The sequence below is a fragment of the Homo sapiens genome, chromosome 1, assembly GCF_000001405.40.
Source record: "Homo sapiens chromosome 1, GRCh38.p14 Primary Assembly".
Taxonomy (NCBI): Eukaryota; Metazoa; Chordata; class Mammalia; order Primates; family Hominidae; genus Homo; species Homo sapiens.
The window spans coordinates 201,462,493-201,480,448 of NC_000001.11; the positions used below are offsets into that span (position 1 = coordinate 201,462,493).

General features: G+C 51.1%; 1 protein-coding gene across 2 annotated transcripts, besides 7 other annotated features; it reads right to left on the reverse strand.

Moving 5' to 3' along the window:
* Positions 1-1,785: 1,785 nt before the first annotated feature.
* Positions 1,786-6,696, reverse strand: PHLDA3 (pleckstrin homology like domain family A member 3). 2 transcript variants are annotated; one of them, NR_073080.2, is made up of 3 exons: positions 5,853-6,696; positions 4,994-5,091; positions 1,786-3,686 (listed from the first exon to the last, which is right to left on the reverse strand). NR_073080.2 is itself a non-coding variant. In NM_012396.5 (2 exons), the coding sequence occupies exon 1, from the start codon at positions 6,292-6,294 to the stop codon at positions 5,911-5,913; it is 384 nt and encodes a 127-aa protein (NP_036528.1). In that variant the 5' UTR covers positions 6,295-6,696; the 3' UTR covers positions 1,786-3,686; positions 5,849-5,910. The 2 variants fall into 2 exon arrangements, 1 of the variants encoding a protein (NP_036528.1); NM_012396.5 differs by lacking the exon at positions 4,994-5,091 and having other exon boundaries at positions 5,849-6,696.
* Positions 5,876-5,935: an enhancer, noted in NCBI's record as "active region_2317". NCBI's record gives its function as "activates an Ori minimal core promoter by ATAC-STARR-seq in GM12878 lymphoblastoid cells {active_cell/tissue: GM12878}" and the evidence as "EXISTENCE:reporter gene assay evidence [ECO:0000049][PMID:35858748]".
* Positions 6,006-6,145: an enhancer, noted in NCBI's record as "active region_2318". NCBI's record gives its function as "activates an Ori minimal core promoter by ATAC-STARR-seq in GM12878 lymphoblastoid cells {active_cell/tissue: GM12878}" and the evidence as "EXISTENCE:reporter gene assay evidence [ECO:0000049][PMID:35858748]".
* Positions 6,216-6,525: a silencer, noted in NCBI's record as "silent region_1689". NCBI's record gives its function as "represses an Ori minimal core promoter by ATAC-STARR-seq in GM12878 lymphoblastoid cells {active_cell/tissue: GM12878}" and the evidence as "EXISTENCE:reporter gene assay evidence [ECO:0000049][PMID:35858748]".
* Positions 6,216-7,081: a biological region, named in NCBI's record as "H3K27ac-H3K4me1 hESC enhancer GRCh37_chr1:201437987-201438701".
* Positions 6,367-7,081: an enhancer, noted in NCBI's record as "H3K27ac-H3K4me1 hESC enhancer chr1:201437987-201438701 (GRCh37/hg19 assembly coordinates)". NCBI's record gives its function as "activates a minimal SCP1, AML or CMV promoter by ChIP-STARR-seq in naive and primed H9 embryonic stem cells {active_cell/tissue: H9 hESC(naive and primed)}" and the evidence as "EXISTENCE:reporter gene assay evidence [ECO:0000049][PMID:30033119]".
* Positions 6,596-6,715: an enhancer, noted in NCBI's record as "active region_2319". NCBI's record gives its function as "activates an Ori minimal core promoter by ATAC-STARR-seq in GM12878 lymphoblastoid cells {active_cell/tissue: GM12878}" and the evidence as "EXISTENCE:reporter gene assay evidence [ECO:0000049][PMID:35858748]".
* Positions 6,736-6,965: a silencer, noted in NCBI's record as "silent region_1690". NCBI's record gives its function as "represses an Ori minimal core promoter by ATAC-STARR-seq in GM12878 lymphoblastoid cells {active_cell/tissue: GM12878}" and the evidence as "EXISTENCE:reporter gene assay evidence [ECO:0000049][PMID:35858748]".

The window sequence follows — 17,956 nt, forward strand, 5'->3', positions numbered from 1 at the left end:
TCGGGGGCCAAGGCGGGTGGATCACAAGGTCAGGAGTTCGAGACCAGCCTGGCCAACACACTGAAACCCCATCTCTACTAAAAATACAAAAAATTAGCCAGGCCTGGTGGCGGGCGCCTGAATCCCAGCTACTTGGGAGGCTGAGGCAGGAGAATTGCTTGAACCTGGGAGGCGGAGGTTGCAGTGAGCCGAGATCGTGCCATTGCACTCCAGCCTGGGCAACAGGGCAAGACTCTGTCTCAAAAAGCAAAACAAAACAAACAAAAAAGAAAAAACCAACAACAACAACAAAAAACCTGGTCTTGAACCCCAGACCTCTGTGCTGTGAGGGCTCTTAGGATACTCAGACAGCTCCCAGGCTCTTACAAATGATAGTAAATGATCACCCCATTGCAACCACCAGCCCCTACACTGCTGCATACCTAGAACTGCGTTCTAGGGTCTGTGTCAAGGGCTCTAACAGCAGCAGACTCTTCAAGGGGCTGGGACTCTCCTAGCAAGAGAAACGGAAGCTGGGTTTGGTCAAGAACCAACATACTTTAAACCAACAGGGCTGGTGTTCCAAAAAAGCAGAGTGCCAGAAACTAGAGCCTGCTTCCCCCTCCACCCTCCACCTGCCCTCTGCCCTTGATGTCTCTCATACTATACCCTACACTGCCCTTTGCAGCCAAGCTCTGAGAATGACCCCTAGTGCTGGACAGAGAAAGTATTGCCCAGTGCTCCCCTGGCGCCTGGTGGCCAGTTCTATGGGCACCAGTTAGCACTGACTGATGTCACCAGAACCTGGCTCCTTGAGGCAAGGACTGGATCTTGTCTTTCTCTTCTGCATCCCCAGAGTCGAGCACAGTGCCTAGCCTGTAAAGGCATTTAGTTTGCTGGATGTCTTGCCTCTCAACCCCATCTGTTCACTAACACTCCCCTATTTCGTTTTTGTTGTTGTTGTTGTTGTTGTTTTGAGATGGAGTCTCACTGCCGTCACACAGGCTGGAGTGCAGTGGTGCTATCTCCGCTCGCTGCAACCTCCACCTCCAGAGTTCAATCGATTCTCCTTCCTCAGCCTTCCGAGTAGCTGGGATTACAGTCGTGCACAACCACACCCAGTTAATTTTTGTAGTTTTAGTAGAGACGGGGTTTCGCCTTGTTGGCCAGGCTGGTCTCAAACTCCTGACCTCAGGTGATCCACCCGCCTTGCCCTCCCAAAGTGCTAGGATTACATGTGTGAGCCACCGCGCCCGGCCCACTCCCCTATTTCTGAGTGCCTGGATACGTCTTTTCCTTATGCCTGAACCCCCACCATCAGTTACCCTCCGGTTTGATTGAAGAGCAAAGATTCTATTTTTTTTTCTTTTTTTTCTGAGATGGAGTCTTGCTTTATTGCCCAGGCTGGAGTGCAGTGGCGTGATCTCGGCTCACTGCAAGCTCCGCCTCCCGGGTTCACGCCATTCTCCTGTCTCAGCCTCCCGAGTAGCTAGGACTATAGGTGCCTGCCACTACGCCCGGCTAACTTTTTTTGTATTTTTAGTAGAGATGGGGTTTCACCGTGTTAGCCAGGTTGGTCTCCTGACCTCGTGATCCGCCTGCCTCGGCCTCCCACAGTGCTGGGGTTACAGGCGTGAGCCACCGCGCCCCGCCCAAAGATTCTATTTTAGAGGCTATTTAGAAGCTGCTGTTATATAGGATGGCAACCCTCTTCTCTCCAGCCACGCCCACCCCCCCAGATAATGCCGCCATTCTCCCCACCTTTCTTCCAAAGCCCATGGCAGGCATCACCAATTGATCACAGCATTCTAGTTGAGCTCTGATCTTTCTCAGCACTGATTAGGGTTGCATAAACAGACGCTTATTTGCCATGGTGGGATTAAGCCACCCATGGACAATTGTACAATTGGATACAGTAAGTGACATATTTATAAAAGTTCTGTTGTAATTAACAAATTCTCATTCAACTGTGTGATGTAATTCACACATCAGATGAGCAAGTTGAACCTCTTGTGGACTCTGAGGGACTGGGGCACAGGACAGGGAAGTTTTTATTGGAAGGCGAGAGAAATCTGAACGGGAACAAAACAGGTTGGAAGCACAAAACAATTAAAGGGACTTCGAATTGCTGAATGGGGCCACTGAGCCTCCTTGCTCCCTCCAGAGAGACCCTGTAGTAGGCCACTGCTTTGCAACAGGGAAGGTCAGACATGGGAAAACAATGGAGGAAAGGCAGGCAGGGTCAACTGCTGGCCACAGCCTGGAAAGGTCCAGGGTTACCCAATCAAGTTTCTGTACAACTCCAGGCAGCTATTGTCTGTACCTGTTTTCCCGTTTTTTTTGTTGTTGTTGTTTTGAGACTGCGTCTTGCTGCTTTGTCACCTAGGCTGGAGTGCAGTGGTGCCATCTCAGCTCACTGTAACCTCTGCCTCCCAGGTTCAAGCAATTCTCCTGCCTCAGCCTCCCCCAGTAGCTGGGGCTATAGGTGTGTGCCACCTCACCTGGCTAATTTTTGTTTTTAGTAGAGACAGGGTTTCACCAAGTTGGCCAGGCTGGTCTCAAATTCCTGACCTCAGGTGATCCACCCACCTCAGCCTCCCAAAGTCCTTGGATTACAGTTGTGAGCCACCGTGCCAGGCCTTCACCCTGTTGAAATTATTCCTTTTAACCCTCCAGGAGGGAGAACTTACTGTGTAAATGTATAAAGCCTGAGAGTATAAATGACAGGGAGACAAACTCTGCCCAGAAAGCTGAGGCTTCTCCCAGGGTAGCAGGGGCAGGGTAGCCTCCTGTAGAAGAGACATTCATAGGGACTGAACTGACCAGCTTGACATCCCTCGGTCCAGAATCTATGGGCCCTCCTTCCTAGGACCACCAAGGCCCTGTCTACTGGGGTTTTAGTGTCTCTGCCTATCCAGGCTGGAGACTTCAGAATGGGTTGCAAATTGGGAGATTAAGGATAAAGAGAGAGATGCTCCAAGCCCTGGGTCTTTGTGGGCAAAGAATTTCACTCAGCAAACTGTGTGGTTACTGCCCTTTGCAGGGCATCTTCATTTGGGGAAAGACATGAAATGCTAATGGCCAAACCCCCCCTCACCCCCACCACCTTCAGGCCGAACACCGCAGTGGGGGGAAGATGCGTAGAGGTGGGGGAAGAAGTGTGCAAAGAAAGGGCCTGGATGGGTGGGGGTCCCAAAAGGACCTAAGCAGCAGGAGACCCCCAGGAGTGGGCTTTAGGCCCAGCAGCTCCCCCTTCTCAAGGTGAGTCCAGAGGCCATTCTGGAGTGGGCCTGGGTACCAGGCCCTGGGTACTCCTTTTGGTACCAGGCTGGCCTCCTGATTCCTGAGGCGTTGGCTCGGCACCCCATGGGGGACTGCCCTCCTCCAGGCCTGGCACAAAGCCAGGGGGCTAAGAGCAGTCTGCAGGACAGAGGGCAGGACCACAGCAGGGAGGGGGCTCCTATGCCAGCTCCCCCTCATGCCATATGAGGCCAGGCCTGTGGCTCGAAGCCCCTGAGCTGGGCATGTCCTGAGAGTCTGGGACCATCCAGGGGCTGCATCTTCATCCTCAGCCCTGCGTAGCCTTCTGCCCTCCTCCCAGGGCTCGTCCATTCCTTCAGCTCCAGCGCCTCCTCCACACGTCCATGCCTTCCACCTTGCCACATGGAGCACAGCCGTGCCCCCACAAGCCAGAGGGAACAACGAAGCTGGCAAGAAAGAACAGCAGTTAGAGCAGGGGCAACAATGGAGAAAGGAGTATCTATTATGAGCTTGGGCATTTTACACCAGCACTTCCCAGCCTTTTCCATAAACATGGAAAACATTTTTTGCATACGTACTGTGGTAAAGGAATCTGCTTCCTCCCAGGCCCCCAAGACCTGAGGGATCAATGTGGATCAATCCTCAGCACAGGGGGTCTGCCTTATACCCCACTTCTCAGCTAAACCCTAACTACAATGTGGGAGGGCATTAACAGGACCATCAAAGTGGGGTATGGCACTAGATGGGGCCCCAGGCTCACTAGGACTCTCTACTGTTGAAGACATCTGCAGGCGGGTAAGGTCGCCTAGGAGGTGGTAGTGGGGAGAGAAGGATCTAGGTTTCCACTGGAAAAATTAAGGCTAGAAGGAAGGCTAAATCCTTTCTCAGCCCTACTCCTACTTCTCACAAGAAGGGAGTGGCATCTGGGGAAGAGGGCACAGGGCTGAGAGCCAGGGCTTCCAGATTCTATTCCTGGCCCCTCCCCTGGGCCTTCCTGACCACAAATCCGCCCCCCACTCCCTGCCCTACTGCTCATAGAGGATTAAGACATCACAAATAACAACTCATGACCCCATCCTGCTGCACCCACCCACCCTGCCCCAGTGCCCCATGCCCTCCTCCAGCTTCTCCTTCCCTGGCCCAGCCAGGCCTGACTGGCACTCAGGGGCAGGTAGACAGCTAGGCCCCCACCCCTTGGCATCAGTGGCCCAGCCTCTGGCGCAGTTGCCTATCCTTCAGCTCCCTTGCTCTCCTAACAGTGAGCCCTAGGGCTCAAAACCCACTGTCAAGAATGGGGACCAGGTGTGGTGGCTTACACCTGTAATCTTAGCACTTTGGGAGGCCAAGGTGGGCAGATTGCTTGAGCTCAGGAGTTCGAAACCAGCATGGGCAACGTGGGGAAACCCCAAATCTACAAAAAAAAAAATTAGCCAGGCATGGTGGCGTGTGCCTGTAGTCCCAGCTACCTGGAGGCTGAGGTGGGAGGATCGCTTGAGCCCAAGAGGTTGAAGCTGTTGAGGCTGCAGTGAGCCATGACTATGCTACTGCACCAGTCTGGGCGACAGGTAGAGATCCTGTCTCAAAAATATATATATAGGCTGGGTGCAGTGGCTCACACCTGTAATCCCAGCACTTGGGGAGGCCGAGGCAGGCAGATCACCTGAGGTCAGGAGTTCAAGACCAGCCTGGCCAACATGGCGAAACCCCATCTCTACTAAAAATACAAAAATTAGCAGGGTGTGGTGGCAGGCACCTGTAATCCCAGCTGTTCTGGAAGCTGAAGCAGGAGATTTGCTTGAGCCCAGGAGGTAGAGGTTGCAATGAGCCAAGATCACACGACTGTACTCCAGCCTGGGTGACACAGCGAGACTCTGTCTCAAACAACAACAACAACAACAACAAACCATACACACACACACACACACACACACACACACACACACACACACATATGTAGAGGAGGAGCTGGATCCCTCAGGCCCAGTCCAGCCAAGGCGGCCCACTGAGGCCCCACCTTCCACTGAGGCCCCACCTTGGGAGCCGGACTCCTTGGCTCTATTTGCAACCCTTGATGGTGCCTTCGCCATCTGGGAGATACTGTCTTTCTACATCAATTCAATGCTCAAACTTTATGACAAGCATTCAACCTAGAGGGAAAGAGGGTCGGCCTCCACGATCCGCGTCCCCACCCTCGGTTGTCCTCAGCTGCCAGAAAGCCGAAGTCCAGGAGCCCTGCTCTGCGTGGAAAGCAGAGGCCCACAGCCTGGGGCAATGTGCAGGCCAACCTCCCTCTACTTCCTTCCACCTGAGTCAGGGCTGAACCAACTTGAAAGAAGGCTCATCTCACCCAGGTATCCCCCTCCCAGGGCTTCCATCTTCCTCTCACACACCTGGATCACATTCTGGACCGGCCAACCTGGTGCCTCAGGGGAAAGTCCGGATCTGCTGGGTTGGCCACTGGCCCAAGCCTCCCATGCCCTCAGTTGGCCCCAGGAACCTCCCCCCTAAGATGTCCGGCTCTGAAGTAGAATGCTAGTCCTCATTCTCTCTGTAGGGGAAAGAGAAGGGAGGGAAGGAGAGAAGAGGGCCCAGTCCCCCGGGGGCTTACCTGCCTTGACCTCAGCACTGAGGTGGTGGGTAGCATGAAGGAAAGATGGTGCGCCCGGTGGTTTAGGACACGAGGGTCCCGGTCCCGAGGCTCTGCCGGGCCCGCACTGTCTGGATGGCCTGCTGGTTCTTGAACTTGACCAGGCCTAGGGTGATCTGGGCGTTCCAGCCGGGATCTTCCAGGGGGCAGCGGAAGTCGATCTCGCCGCCCCCTTCGGTCACCAGCGTGAAGTAGATGTGGCGCCCGGTGCTCTCCACGCACTCCACGGCCTTGATGCGGGCGAAGCTGAGCTCCTTGGGCCGGCCGCCCGTGCCCTTGGCCTCGAAGAGCTGCAGCCCGCGTTCGGTGAGGACGCAGCGCTTCCGCTTCCACAGCTGCAGCAGCCCGCCGCTGCGCTTCTCCAGCACGCCCTCCTTGAGCACGGTAGCCGTCGCCGCCGCCGTCATGGGCGCCCCGAGGTTCGCGGAAAGCTCCAGGCTGCGGCGGGCGCGGCGCCCCTCTCGGCCCCGCAGCGCAGGATTCTGGCGCCCCGGGCTGGCAGGCCGTGCGCGCTGCCCACCTGCGCCCTGACTGCTCCGCGCACCCACACCGCGGCCCTCAGCACCCGGCTGCCGGTGAGGTGGTGTCGGTGCCCCCAGCGCGCTCCGCGCCCACCGCCCCGCTTCAGCCGGCACCCGCTCCTCCGCTCTACCCCAGCTGGCCCAGCCCGACCCGCCTCTGCCAGATGCCTCCGCGCCTCCCTAGGCCGTGAGCCCCACCGCCCGCCCGTTCTCTTGCTCCCCTGGGCTCTGTCTGCGCGCTGGGCGGCAGCTCGCGGGATGTGCCCTTACATGTTCCGCCGCTCGCCTCCTGCGCCGCCCGCCCGCAGCGCATTCCTACCCTGGCCGGCCCTCCCCTCCGCGCCGCGCACCAGCTCCGGCAGGGCCCCGGGGGCGGGGCCGCAGCGGGGGCTCAGTCACTCACTGGAGGCGCAGGGCGCGGGGCGGGGAGGGCCGGGACTGAGAGGGGGCTGCTTACTCAACAGCCCAAGCCTTCTGGCTGCCGTCTGCCGCTTCTCGGAACCGCAGCTCCCCCAGGCCTTGAATGAAGGGGGAGATGGCGGGGAAGGGAGGGGGAAGGCGCATCTCCTCGATTGGAGAGCGCGCTGCTAGCAAGGGGGTGGGCTTGCTTGGCGAACGCGCAGTGGCACCAGTTGCATGTTAGGCGTCAGACAGCTGCTGGTTACTTGGCACGCCATGGGGCCCCCAGCCTCTGCATCAAGCCCATGTTGGGTTCCTCCTCCATCGCCCGATTTCTCTGTGCAGCACCCAAGAGAGGCTGTCCATCGCTGCCTCTGCTTGGACAGTTCACCTGCTCCTACTCCTACCCCCATGCATTGCGCGGGGAGGCCTGTAGAGAGTAGCCAGTGCCAACAAAGGAGAGCTGAGGCTTGAGGTCATTCATGCCCTCCTCGTAGTGGGGGAGGAGGGACCCCCTCCGTGACCTGGGGATGCCACTGTCTGCAGTCCTCTCCACCGCACACTTGCAGGCGCCGACGCTGGACCGATGGCACAGCCAGTCCCAGGTGTAAGCGCAGCTCCAACCTTGCTCCTTCCGCTCCGCAGATTCTGTCCTCCCTCGGCCTTCCCCAAGAATGGACTTCTCCCGCATACAGAGCTGGAGGGGAACGCAGAGGGAGAGGTCTCTTTCTGTTCTGGCTAGAATATTGTGTAAACACAAGAGCTTTGCAGAGTTGAGTTCAAACCTCTTCTCCCTTGTTGGCTGTGTCCTGCCCACCTGGGGCAACTTTACTGACCTCCGTCAATTTCCTCATCTGTCGAATAGGAGGATTAATTTATTCTCATCTCATGGGGTTGTCCTGATGAATAAGTTGGATAACATTTGTGAAAGACCCAAGACAGGACCTGACAACTCTTGAGTCTCAAGAAATGTTCTTCCTCCCCTCTCCCCACTCTTATTCCCTTTAGAGAATGATGGGGGCCCTGAGATTAAGCCAGGCACTGGAAGAGGGCTCTCTTAGGTCCTCATTCTGTCCCCATCTTGATCAGTTCCTCCAGGCCCACAGTTTCTTAAAGGTCTATTCATCAACATGTTAATAATAGATTCTTACGGGAGTAATGATATATAATAATGACAGTAATAAGACCTCTTTGTACTTACACCCTGTGTTGCCATCCTCCTGCCCAAAGAGCAGAGCCTAACAGATACAGGGAAGGTCCTGTTGTGGGGATAGGAGTGCGCTCCTCTGCAGTCCCAAAGTTAGGAGATGAGAGAAGGGAACTGTCAGTGTCTCATCCATAACTCTTTATACACACACACACACACACACACACACACGTGTGACGACAACTAACTCCTAACTCCCAGAATGCCCCTCCAGGAGAGGGAATAGACAGTGGCATTAAAGAAAAGACAAAGACAGGTGTCTCCTGAGGCCCAGAGAGCAGCAGAAGAGGGAGCTCGAGGTGGCCACGGCCCTACCTGAGGGACCCACAAGGTCTCAGCCTGCCTGCCAGCCCTGCCCTCCCATGGCTCCTCCCCACCACTCCACAGGGGTCTCCTGGGTGCACCAACCTGGCACAGTCCTGCCATGATCCAAAGTTCTCTCTCTGAGGAAACAGGGCCCTAGATCAGGCTCTACCCCTAACTCATTTTTTTGTTTTGTTTTGTTTTTGTTTTTGAGACGGAGTTTTGCCCTCGTTGCCCAGGCTGGAGTGCAACGGTGCGATCTCGGCTCACTGCAACCTCTGCTTCCCAGGTTCAAGCGATTCTCCTGCCTCAGCCTCCCAAGTAGCTGGGATTACAGGCATCTGCCACCACACCTGGCTAATTTTTTGTATTTTTAGTAGAGTCGGGGTTTCTCCATGTTGGTCAGGCTGGTCTCAAACTCCCCGCCTCAGGTGATCCGCCTGCCTTGGCCTCCCAAAGTGCTGGGATTACATGCGTGGGCCACTGCTGTTTTATCTCTACCAGTTCCTCTTCTCCCCACACTGGGTCTGGGACTCATTCATGCTCTTTCCAGTTCCAGGTGGATTCACAGTTGTATGGGCTTCGTACAGAGCCCTCTCACATGTTGTAGATGCTCATGATAGACAGATATTATTATCACTGTGGGCGTTTTACCGATGAGAAAAATGAGACCCAGAGAGGTCAGATAATGTAAATGGCGTCACATGGCTTTGAAAATGGCAAAGTCCAGATGAGAATGCATGGTGGCTAACAGGGCCCAGGATCGTTTGATGATACATACCCATACTGCCCATACATGAACATCTGAGTCCACATAGTTCCTTTAAAAATGATCCAGTCACCCATACTTTTCTCTTCAGCTTACTGAGTTGCGAGGTAGCGGGCTTTTGGACACAGGAGAAGGGAACATTGGATAGCAAGAGTGAGCAGATAAAGATGGGGGTGGGGGGCCATTGGAGGAAATTTAGCAGGACATACTCTACTGCTGGAAGGGTCTTCATCAGCTAAGCATCCAGTTCCTAACACGACAACGTCTTCCTGGAGGCCTGAATGGGTCCTTGGAACCTGGAATCCTGTCCTCCAATCTCAAGACCTCTGGGACTAGGGGAGATGATTCATTCCAAATCTTTCCCTAGAACTGGCATCTTGCCTGGTAGCCACATCTGGGAGAGGCTCAGGCCCAGGCTGGATTATTTGGGCCATCAGAAGGATCAAGAAGAACTCAAAAGCCAGGGGAGCAGCGTGCAGAGAGGGCTGGTGCTGCTCCTCCCTTCCTGCTGAGGTATCCCTACCCATCCCCTGGAACAGGAGCTCTGACTTAAACTTCTTGGTTAAGTCACTGGGCTGGAGCAGTGCTGGGCCCTAGAGATACTTACCCAATTCTTTTTTTTTTTTTTTTTTTTTTGAGATGGAGTCTCACTTTGTCACCCAGGCTGGAGTGCAATGGCACAATCTCGGCTCCCTGCAACCCCCGCCTCCTGGGCTCAAGTGATTCTCCTGCCTAAGCCTCCCGAGTAACTGGGATTACAGGCGCCTGCCACCATGCCTGGCTAATTTTTGTATTTTTAGTAGAGATGGAGTTTCATCATGTTGGCCAGGCTGGTCTCGAACTCCTGAGCTCATGATCTGCCCACCTCAGCCTCCCAAAGTCCTGGGACTACAGGCGTGAGCCACCGCGCCCCATCACTTACTCAATTATCATTGACTTGTTAACTCCACATCTGGCTGATGGACAAAATGTCCCATGGTAGCAGCCCAGAGCTGGCTTCTCCCTCTGCCCACCCCAAAGAGAAAGCAGATCTGCACCGTCAGTAAATCCAAGTCCGGCTGGAACAGGCTAGACTACAAAATGGCCCCAGGGAAGAATGTGCTGGAAATGGTTCTAGCTAGGGCTGAGCCACACCACCTCCACACCTGTGTGAGAAGGAGGAAGTCCAAGTGGAGAGGAGGGGTCCCTCTGGGTGGCTACCCAGGACAAGGCGGAAAGAAAGATGGGAATAAGGCGGGTTAGAGGTAAGAATGAGACCCAGAGAGATGCAAAAAGTAACATAGCTTTTGTTTTCTATATTTACTTAATTCTTTTTTTTTTTTTTTTAGATTGAGTTTTGCTCTTGTTGCTCAGGCTGGAGTGCAATGGCACGACCTCGGCTCACTGCAACCTCCACCTCCCGGGTTCAAGCGATTCTCCTGCCTCAGCCTCCCTAGTAGCTGGGATTACAGGCGCCTGCCATCATGCCCAGCTAATTTTTTGTGTTTTTAGTAGAGACGGGGTTTCACTATTTTGGCCAGCCTAGTCTCGAACTCCTGCCCTCAGGCGATCCACCAGCCTCAGCCTCCCAAAGAGCAGGGATTACAGGCATGAGCCACTGCGCCTGGCTGTCTACTTAATCTTATATAAATTCTTCATAAATTGTTAGACTCAATCTAAAGAAAAGTGTTGAAGACAATTTATTAACAAAACAAGACGTACATTAACACTGCAAAAACTTTAAAACTAAGGATGATATCACTCCTTTGCTCAAAAGCCACCAGAGTCTTCTCATCTCATTCTGAGTAAAGCCAAAGTCATTGATGCTACCTGCAAGGCCCTCTAAGACCTGCTCTTCACTTTCTGATCTTACCTCCTGTACTTTCCTCTATCCCTGGCTCCAGCCACAGTCCTCACCATCCCTTGAACTTGGCAACCATCCTTCCTCAGGGCCTTTGCACCTGCTGTCCTCACTGTCTGGAATCCTCTCTCCCAGATCACCAAATGGTTCATTTTTTCACCACACTAAGCTGTGTTCACGTATTACCTTCTCAATGGGGTCTTCTCCCAACACTGTGTTTAAAGCCACAACCCCCTTCCATAGATGTACATACACACACTGTATCCCGTCCCTGCTCAATTTTTCTCTATGGCACATATTAGCATCCACAATTGTATTTTTCTTACTTATTGTCTATCTCCTTTACTTGTGGGCTCTATGCCAGCGGGGAGTTTGTTTTTTGTTTGTTTGTTTTTTTGAGGCAGAGTCTCGCTCTGTCGCCCAGGCTGGAGTGCAGTGGCGCGATCTCAGCTCACTGCAAGCTCTGCCTCCTGGGTTCACGCCATTCTCCTGCCTCAGCCTCCTGAGTAGCTGGGACTACAGGCGCCCGCCACCATGCCCGGCTAACTTTTTGTATTTTTAGTACAGACGGGGTTTCACTGTGTTAGCCAGGATGGTTCCAATCTCCTGACCTCGTGATCCGCCTGCCTCGGCCTCCCAAAGTGCTGGGATTACAGGCGTCAGCCACCGCGTCCAGCCTATCTGTTTTTTTTACCCCTGTGGCTCCAGCACCTAGAACATTGCCTAATACACTGTAGGAACTGAATGAATAATTATCGAATGAGAAAATGAAATGACAATGTACCTGACAAAAACTGGGAGGTGGAAAAGGATAATGCAGAGGAGGGGAAACAATCAATGCAATCTAGAGTTAATGAACTAATGAAAAGAATGTAACTGCATTATTTAAAACAATGGAAACCACTAGATGGTTAAAGGAGATTTTTAGGGCAGCAAGACTATTTTGTATGATACTATAATGGTGGATACGTGACGTTATGCATCTATCAAAGCCTGCAGAACCATACAACAAGAGTGAGTTTAAACCATGAACTTCAGTTAATAGTAAATGTATGAATCTTGGCTCATTCATTGTAAAAAATGTAGCACATTAATGCAAGATGTTAATAATAGGAGAAACTATGGGGGAAGGGTAGGTATGCAGGAACTCTGTTCTATCTGCTCAAATTTACTATACATCCAAAACTATTACAAAAATTAAGTATTTTAATTAAATACCAAAAATAAATGGTTTGCCTGTAATCTCAGCACCTTAGGAGGCTAAGGCATGAGGATCGCTTGAGCCCAGGAGTCTGAGACCAGCCTAGGCAACATAGTAAGATCTTGTTTCTCCAAAATCATTTTTTAAATATAGCCATAGTGGGGTACATGCCTGTAGTCCCAGCTACTCAGGAGTCTGAGGTGGGAGGATGGCTTGAGCCCAGGAGTTTGAGGCTACAGTGAGCTATGATCACACCAGTGCACTCCAGCCTGGGCAACAGAGCAAGACCCTGTTTAGAAAAGTAAATAAAAATTTAAAATAAATTGTTAACAGTTTCTCTAGGTAACAATGAAGAAGAAAGATAGAGACTTATTTTTTCATTGTTCACCAATCTGTATTGTTTGATTTTTTTAAATCCTGTGCATGCATTGCTTCTCTAAAAATCTAGTTAACTGCACAGTACATAAATGTTCATGCGGTGCAGCAGTTGAAAATACACAGATCTACAGGTCTTAGTAGGTTGAGATGCCTGAAATACGTTGTTTCATGGGGAAACATTACAGTACAGTGAGTTAATAAGGTATATAGCATGGCCACAATGAACAAAGTCCACCTCTGTTGTACAGGTTATATCTAACAGGATTCAATTCACAGTGATATGTTACTTATGGAATGTCCAGGATGGGGATGGGCAGTGTGAGAATGCCTGTCATTTTATGAGCATGCTTCAATATGGTTTGGATGTCATACTCATGTATTAGGCATATTTTTAAAATAAAATAAACACATAGGTATTACATAAGTTCTTGAAATAGAATTTCAAACGCAAGGGCTGGCTTCAGAGCAGGGGTTGATTTAGAGGCTTGAATGGCAGTTATTGGCCTCCAGGCATTCCCAGGATTCCCCAAGGTGGGCACATAGAGCCTCCTGATGTCGGGTGTGTACACTAGAACCGAGCAAACCCAGAGCTGAGCATGCAGCCCCTCCTGTCTCTGTAGTTCTGGAGAGAACTCCCCAACCTTGGGGAACACAAAAAAGGGGCTGGTTCCCCCACAGGACCCTGGGCACCTATTCCATTATCCCCTGGCAACTGGAGTTGGAAGGCTCATCTAGGCTGCCTCAATTTGACCCCCAGTCCAGAAAGAGGTGTGTGGCATAGACCAGCGCTTCTCAGACTGCAGTGTGCAAATGGATCACCTGGGGATCTTGCAAATGCAGATTCTGATGGAATAGGTCTAGGGTAGGACCTGAGATTCTGCACTTCTAGAAGCTTCCAAGTAACACTGATGCTGCTAGTCAACAGAACATACTTTAGATAGCAAGGGTCTAGAGCAGCGGTTCTCAAAATGTAGTCTCAGGCCAGCAGAGTCAGCATCAGCTGGGAACTTGTTAGAAATACAAATTCTAGGCTCCACCCCAGACCCGGGTTTGGAGCCCAGCAATCCGTGTTTGAACAAGCCCTCCAGGTGATTCTGACGCCCACGTGTGAGAACCACTGGTGTAGGGGAAGGAGCACTCAGGTAGGAGACAGGACACCCATGTCCTAGCCTAAGCTTGGTGACACCTTACACAATCACTTCCTCTCTCTGACCTCAGTTTCCTCATCTGTAAAATGAAGGCTGTCAAGTTCTATCTTGCAGATTCAGTGCATATTTGAAAAAAAAAAAAAAGCCTGGCTAGTTTATGGGAGCTATGTAACCCCTGTATAGGCAAGAAAAGAAAACATCACTACTCCTTCCTCAACCTGTTCCCTGGATTCCTCAGGCCAGGTAGTGCCTCCTCACCTAGATGGGGCATGAAAATGGGTCTGTTCACAGCCCTGCTCCTCCCCACCCTGCTTCTCCCTTCAGGCTTCTGCACCCACCCTCCAATCCACAGGTCCCTCACTGCTCTCCTCTCCCTGGGAGCTGGGGGCTGGGAGACCCACTCCAGCTGACCTCTCCCTCAGACTTCTCCTGACCTGCTCGCACCGCTTTGATGTACAGCCCTTTGTTCCAGGACTTTGGGGTTTCCTCGGATCTCTGTTTTTCTAAAGGGAAACAGAAGGAAAAACCCTACCAAGGTTTCAAGTCTCTGATGACTTGGGTTTTATGGGCACCATTGCGACAGACTTCAAGTGGGCAGCAACTCTGCAGCCGACCCGCCCAGGCTTGCTCCTGGGCCTGGCTCTCTCAGTGGAAATCCCCTCCCACGCTCAGCCCTTTAATCACTTTCCAGCCCAATAACTTTCCTGATTCACCAAGAATCCCTTTCGTCTTGAGAGCACCTACTGCCCCCTCTGATGGGGCTGAGTCTGGGCTTGAAGGCATTTGATCCCAGCGTGGGTCTTACAGAGATTGGACTTGTGGGCTAATGGTTCAGGTTGGGGCCTGCAGAATTTTCCTTTTTCCCATGCCATCTTGGCATCTGGGTGCCCATGTTGTAGGAAAAAATGGGCTGCCCTGGAATGAATCTCTTCCTTGAGGACACTTGACCAAGGGGCAATGACACTAGGAGGAGACTGACTGATACCCAGGAAACTAGTGGCCTCAACCAATATGCCAATAATAGCCATGAAACCCTTGACATAAAAGTTGCTTTCTCTTTTCTTCTAGTAATAATGTGCTTTAAATGCAAGTAACACTTGAATACATTTTTGTTGCAAAAGATTCAAAACATGACAGTATCTTTTCACCACCCTTCTAGTCCCCCAACCCCAGAGACAACAATCACTTAGCTTGGTTTGGGTCTTGCCAGATATTTGTTTTTACTTTTCACACATCTGCACCCAGACTAGTATAAAGCAGCATTCTCAATGGTAATGTAAGGGAGTTGGTTGAAGGATTCGTAAGTCCCCTTCCAGCTGTGCCATTTTCTGCATTTGTGGGTGGCTTTTCCCTCTCCTCCTAAATAGGAGACATTCATAGGCTCTCCCTAAAAGTATGGGGGGAGGGGGAATGCACAGAGGAAAATAGGAAAGGAAAGGTCACAGTGTCAACAGCAGTTCCTTCGAGGTGAGGAGATCATGGATGAGTTTTTTACCACTTGCCTCTGATTTTCAAATGTTTCATCATGAGAGTTATAAAGATTATTATTCGTGAGTATGACTTTGATAACAGGGAAGCTCCTATGCAGTGCCATTGTCAAGATCAGGCAGAGAAGGAGGCTGTGAGTTGTCCAGCCTGAGGCTTAGGTCAAGGAGAAATTAACAAATTGCTCAAGGCAGAGGGGTGTGTGGAGGGGCTTAGGGAGGGGAGGAAGGCTCATGGCATATTCTTGGATGTGATCTACAGGAAGATTCATAGAAAGGAACTTCAGAGTAAATCCCATTGTGTGTGAATTAAGAATTAAGTATTCTTAATTCTTAATTCAGGCCCTGGGCTAGACTTTAGGGACACAATGGCAAATGGGTGAATCAGAGTTCTCTACTTAACAGGGACTAGCAAAAGAAGGGGAGGAAGAGTTCACATCTTTAGGAATCCCACCCTACTTTTGCAAGAAGATATTCCTTCCTACTGAAGAAGACCCCAGAGTTAAGCATTAGATCTTTGACAGGCTACGATCCTGACTTTGTAGAAATATGGTCTCCATACTTGACTCGGCCTATCTAAGGTGATATTGGTATGTGTACTAGTTAGGATGGGCTAGGTTATGCTGTGCTAAGAAACTCCTCCCAAACCCAATAGCTTAACATAGCAAAGGTCTTCCCACTCATACCATATGTCCTACTTGAGCTGGCAGGGGAGGTATATCTGCTCCTTGAGATATACACATATCCAGGTTGCTGGAGGTTCCATCACACCTACTTCCACACTCTCCACAACAGGGAAAAGGGACATGAAAACTTACATCGTGCCTATTAAAGAAGTCTGCTCAGATGGCCAGGCACGGTGGCTCACGCCTGTAATCCCAGCACTTTGGGAGGCTGAGGCAAGTGGATCACCTGAGGTCAGGAGTTCAAGACCAGCCTGGCCAACATAATGAAACTCCGTCTCAACTAAAAATACAAAAAAATTAACTGGGTGTAGTGGCAGGCACCTGTAATCCCAGCTACTTCAGGAGGCTGAGCCAGGAGAATTGCTTGAATCTGGGAGGCAGAGGTTGCAGTGAGCTGAGATCACGCCACTGCACTCCAGCCTGGGCGACAAGAGTGAAACTCCATCTCAAAAAATAAAAAATAAAAAATAAAAAAAAAGAAGTCTGCTCAGAAGTGACACTTCTGGTCTCAATTAGAGGCCACAGCAAGCCACATCACCACATCAAAATTCAAGGGAAGAGGCCAAATGTAACCCTTAAATGTAAACGTAGATATTACTGTGTGTCCAGGAATATCTGTGAACATCTCTTAAAGGACTAGACAGTGTGATTGCCATGGGACTGCTGGGTACCCAGAAGGCAGAGCCACAGAGATACCTCTTCACTCCTCCAGCAGGGAGCAACAATCCCCCTTGGCCTGGGACCAAGACCTTGAACTCTCTTGAAGAGTCAGGTTGAGGTCAACAGAGTGGAAATGTAGAAGGTTCAGGAGCAGGTGCTTCTGAAAAGGAACTAAGGGCTTGTCCAGGCATGGAAAATGCCCACTAAAGGCTTTATTCACGATAATCTGCTTCCTGAATTTTCATGGCCTTTAGGGTGAGTCTTTCTAGGCCCATAAACTCAGGACATCAGAGTTGGGTGGATCCCCTGAAGCTTGGCTGTTCAAGTGTGGTCCCAGGATCAGCAACATCAGCACCACCTACCCCTGGGAGCTTGTGAGAGATGTCCAATTTCAGGCCCCACCCAAAACTAGAATCTGCATTTTAACAAGATCCCCAGGAGATTCATATGCACATTAAAGCTTGAGAAGCATTTCCTCAGAACTAATTTAGGCCAACGTCTTCACTTCGCAAATGAGGAGCCGACACCCAGAGGGGAGGAGGCAGGCCCAAAGTCACAGAGCTGGTTCCAATCCTGGCTCCACCACTTGCCAGGGACTTGAGTAAGTCTCTAAAATTCACTGAATCTCGGTTTCCTCTTATATAATAAAGGGATAATATAATTACCTCCTAGTGCTTATATGAGGATCAAATAAGAAAACATCTAGACCAGTGCCAGGCACATAGTATGTGCTCAATAACTGTTAGCTATTGCTATGGTCCTAACTCACCATTCCAGCACCAGGCCTCATACTCCCAGTACATAATTGTCTCCTCTTAAGGCAAGGATGTTAGGTATAGCACTGCAGCGATGGGACCTGGACCCAGCTGCCTGCATTTATATCCTGCTCAATTTGACCTTGAGAGGGTTGCTGAATTGTTCTTTGGTTCTTGGCTTCAGTTTGATCAGTTATAAGTGGGTAAAATGACAGCACCTACTTCATAGGGCTATTGTGAGAATTAAATGAGTTAATGCATTTAAGGTCTTCAAACAGTCTATAGCATATATTAAGCACACGAGATGGATGAGTAATGTGACAATTAAGTGAGTTAATACATTAAAGGTCTTCAAACAGTCTATAGCATATAGTAAGCACACAAGTTGGATGAATAATAATGTTTCCAAAATGTCCAAAAGAAGACTAGGTTGGAGGAAGTTGCACCCTAGAAAGGCAGGGGACAGGCGTTTCTCAGGGGGAGCTGCCTCTGTTTTTTCCCTTTGACCTATTGCAAGTCCCCAGTCTGTTTCTCTGGCCACTGGACGGCCCCCAACCCCTGGCTGTGTTTTTCCTCCTCCACTGGACTCACTGGGCTCCCTGGTGCCTCCATCAGGAAGCGCTGAAAGGCCAGGGGATCTCTGGTGGGGAGGGGCGGACTCAGGCAGCCGACAGCTGTCTTCAAATCTCTGAAGCGCTGTCATGCAGGAGAGGGATTA

Coding starts and splice junctions, on each gene's coding strand:
- PHLDA3 (NM_012396.5), bottom strand. CDS start 6,294: ATGACGGCGGCGGCGACGGCTACCGTGCTCAAGGAGGGCGTGCTGGAG.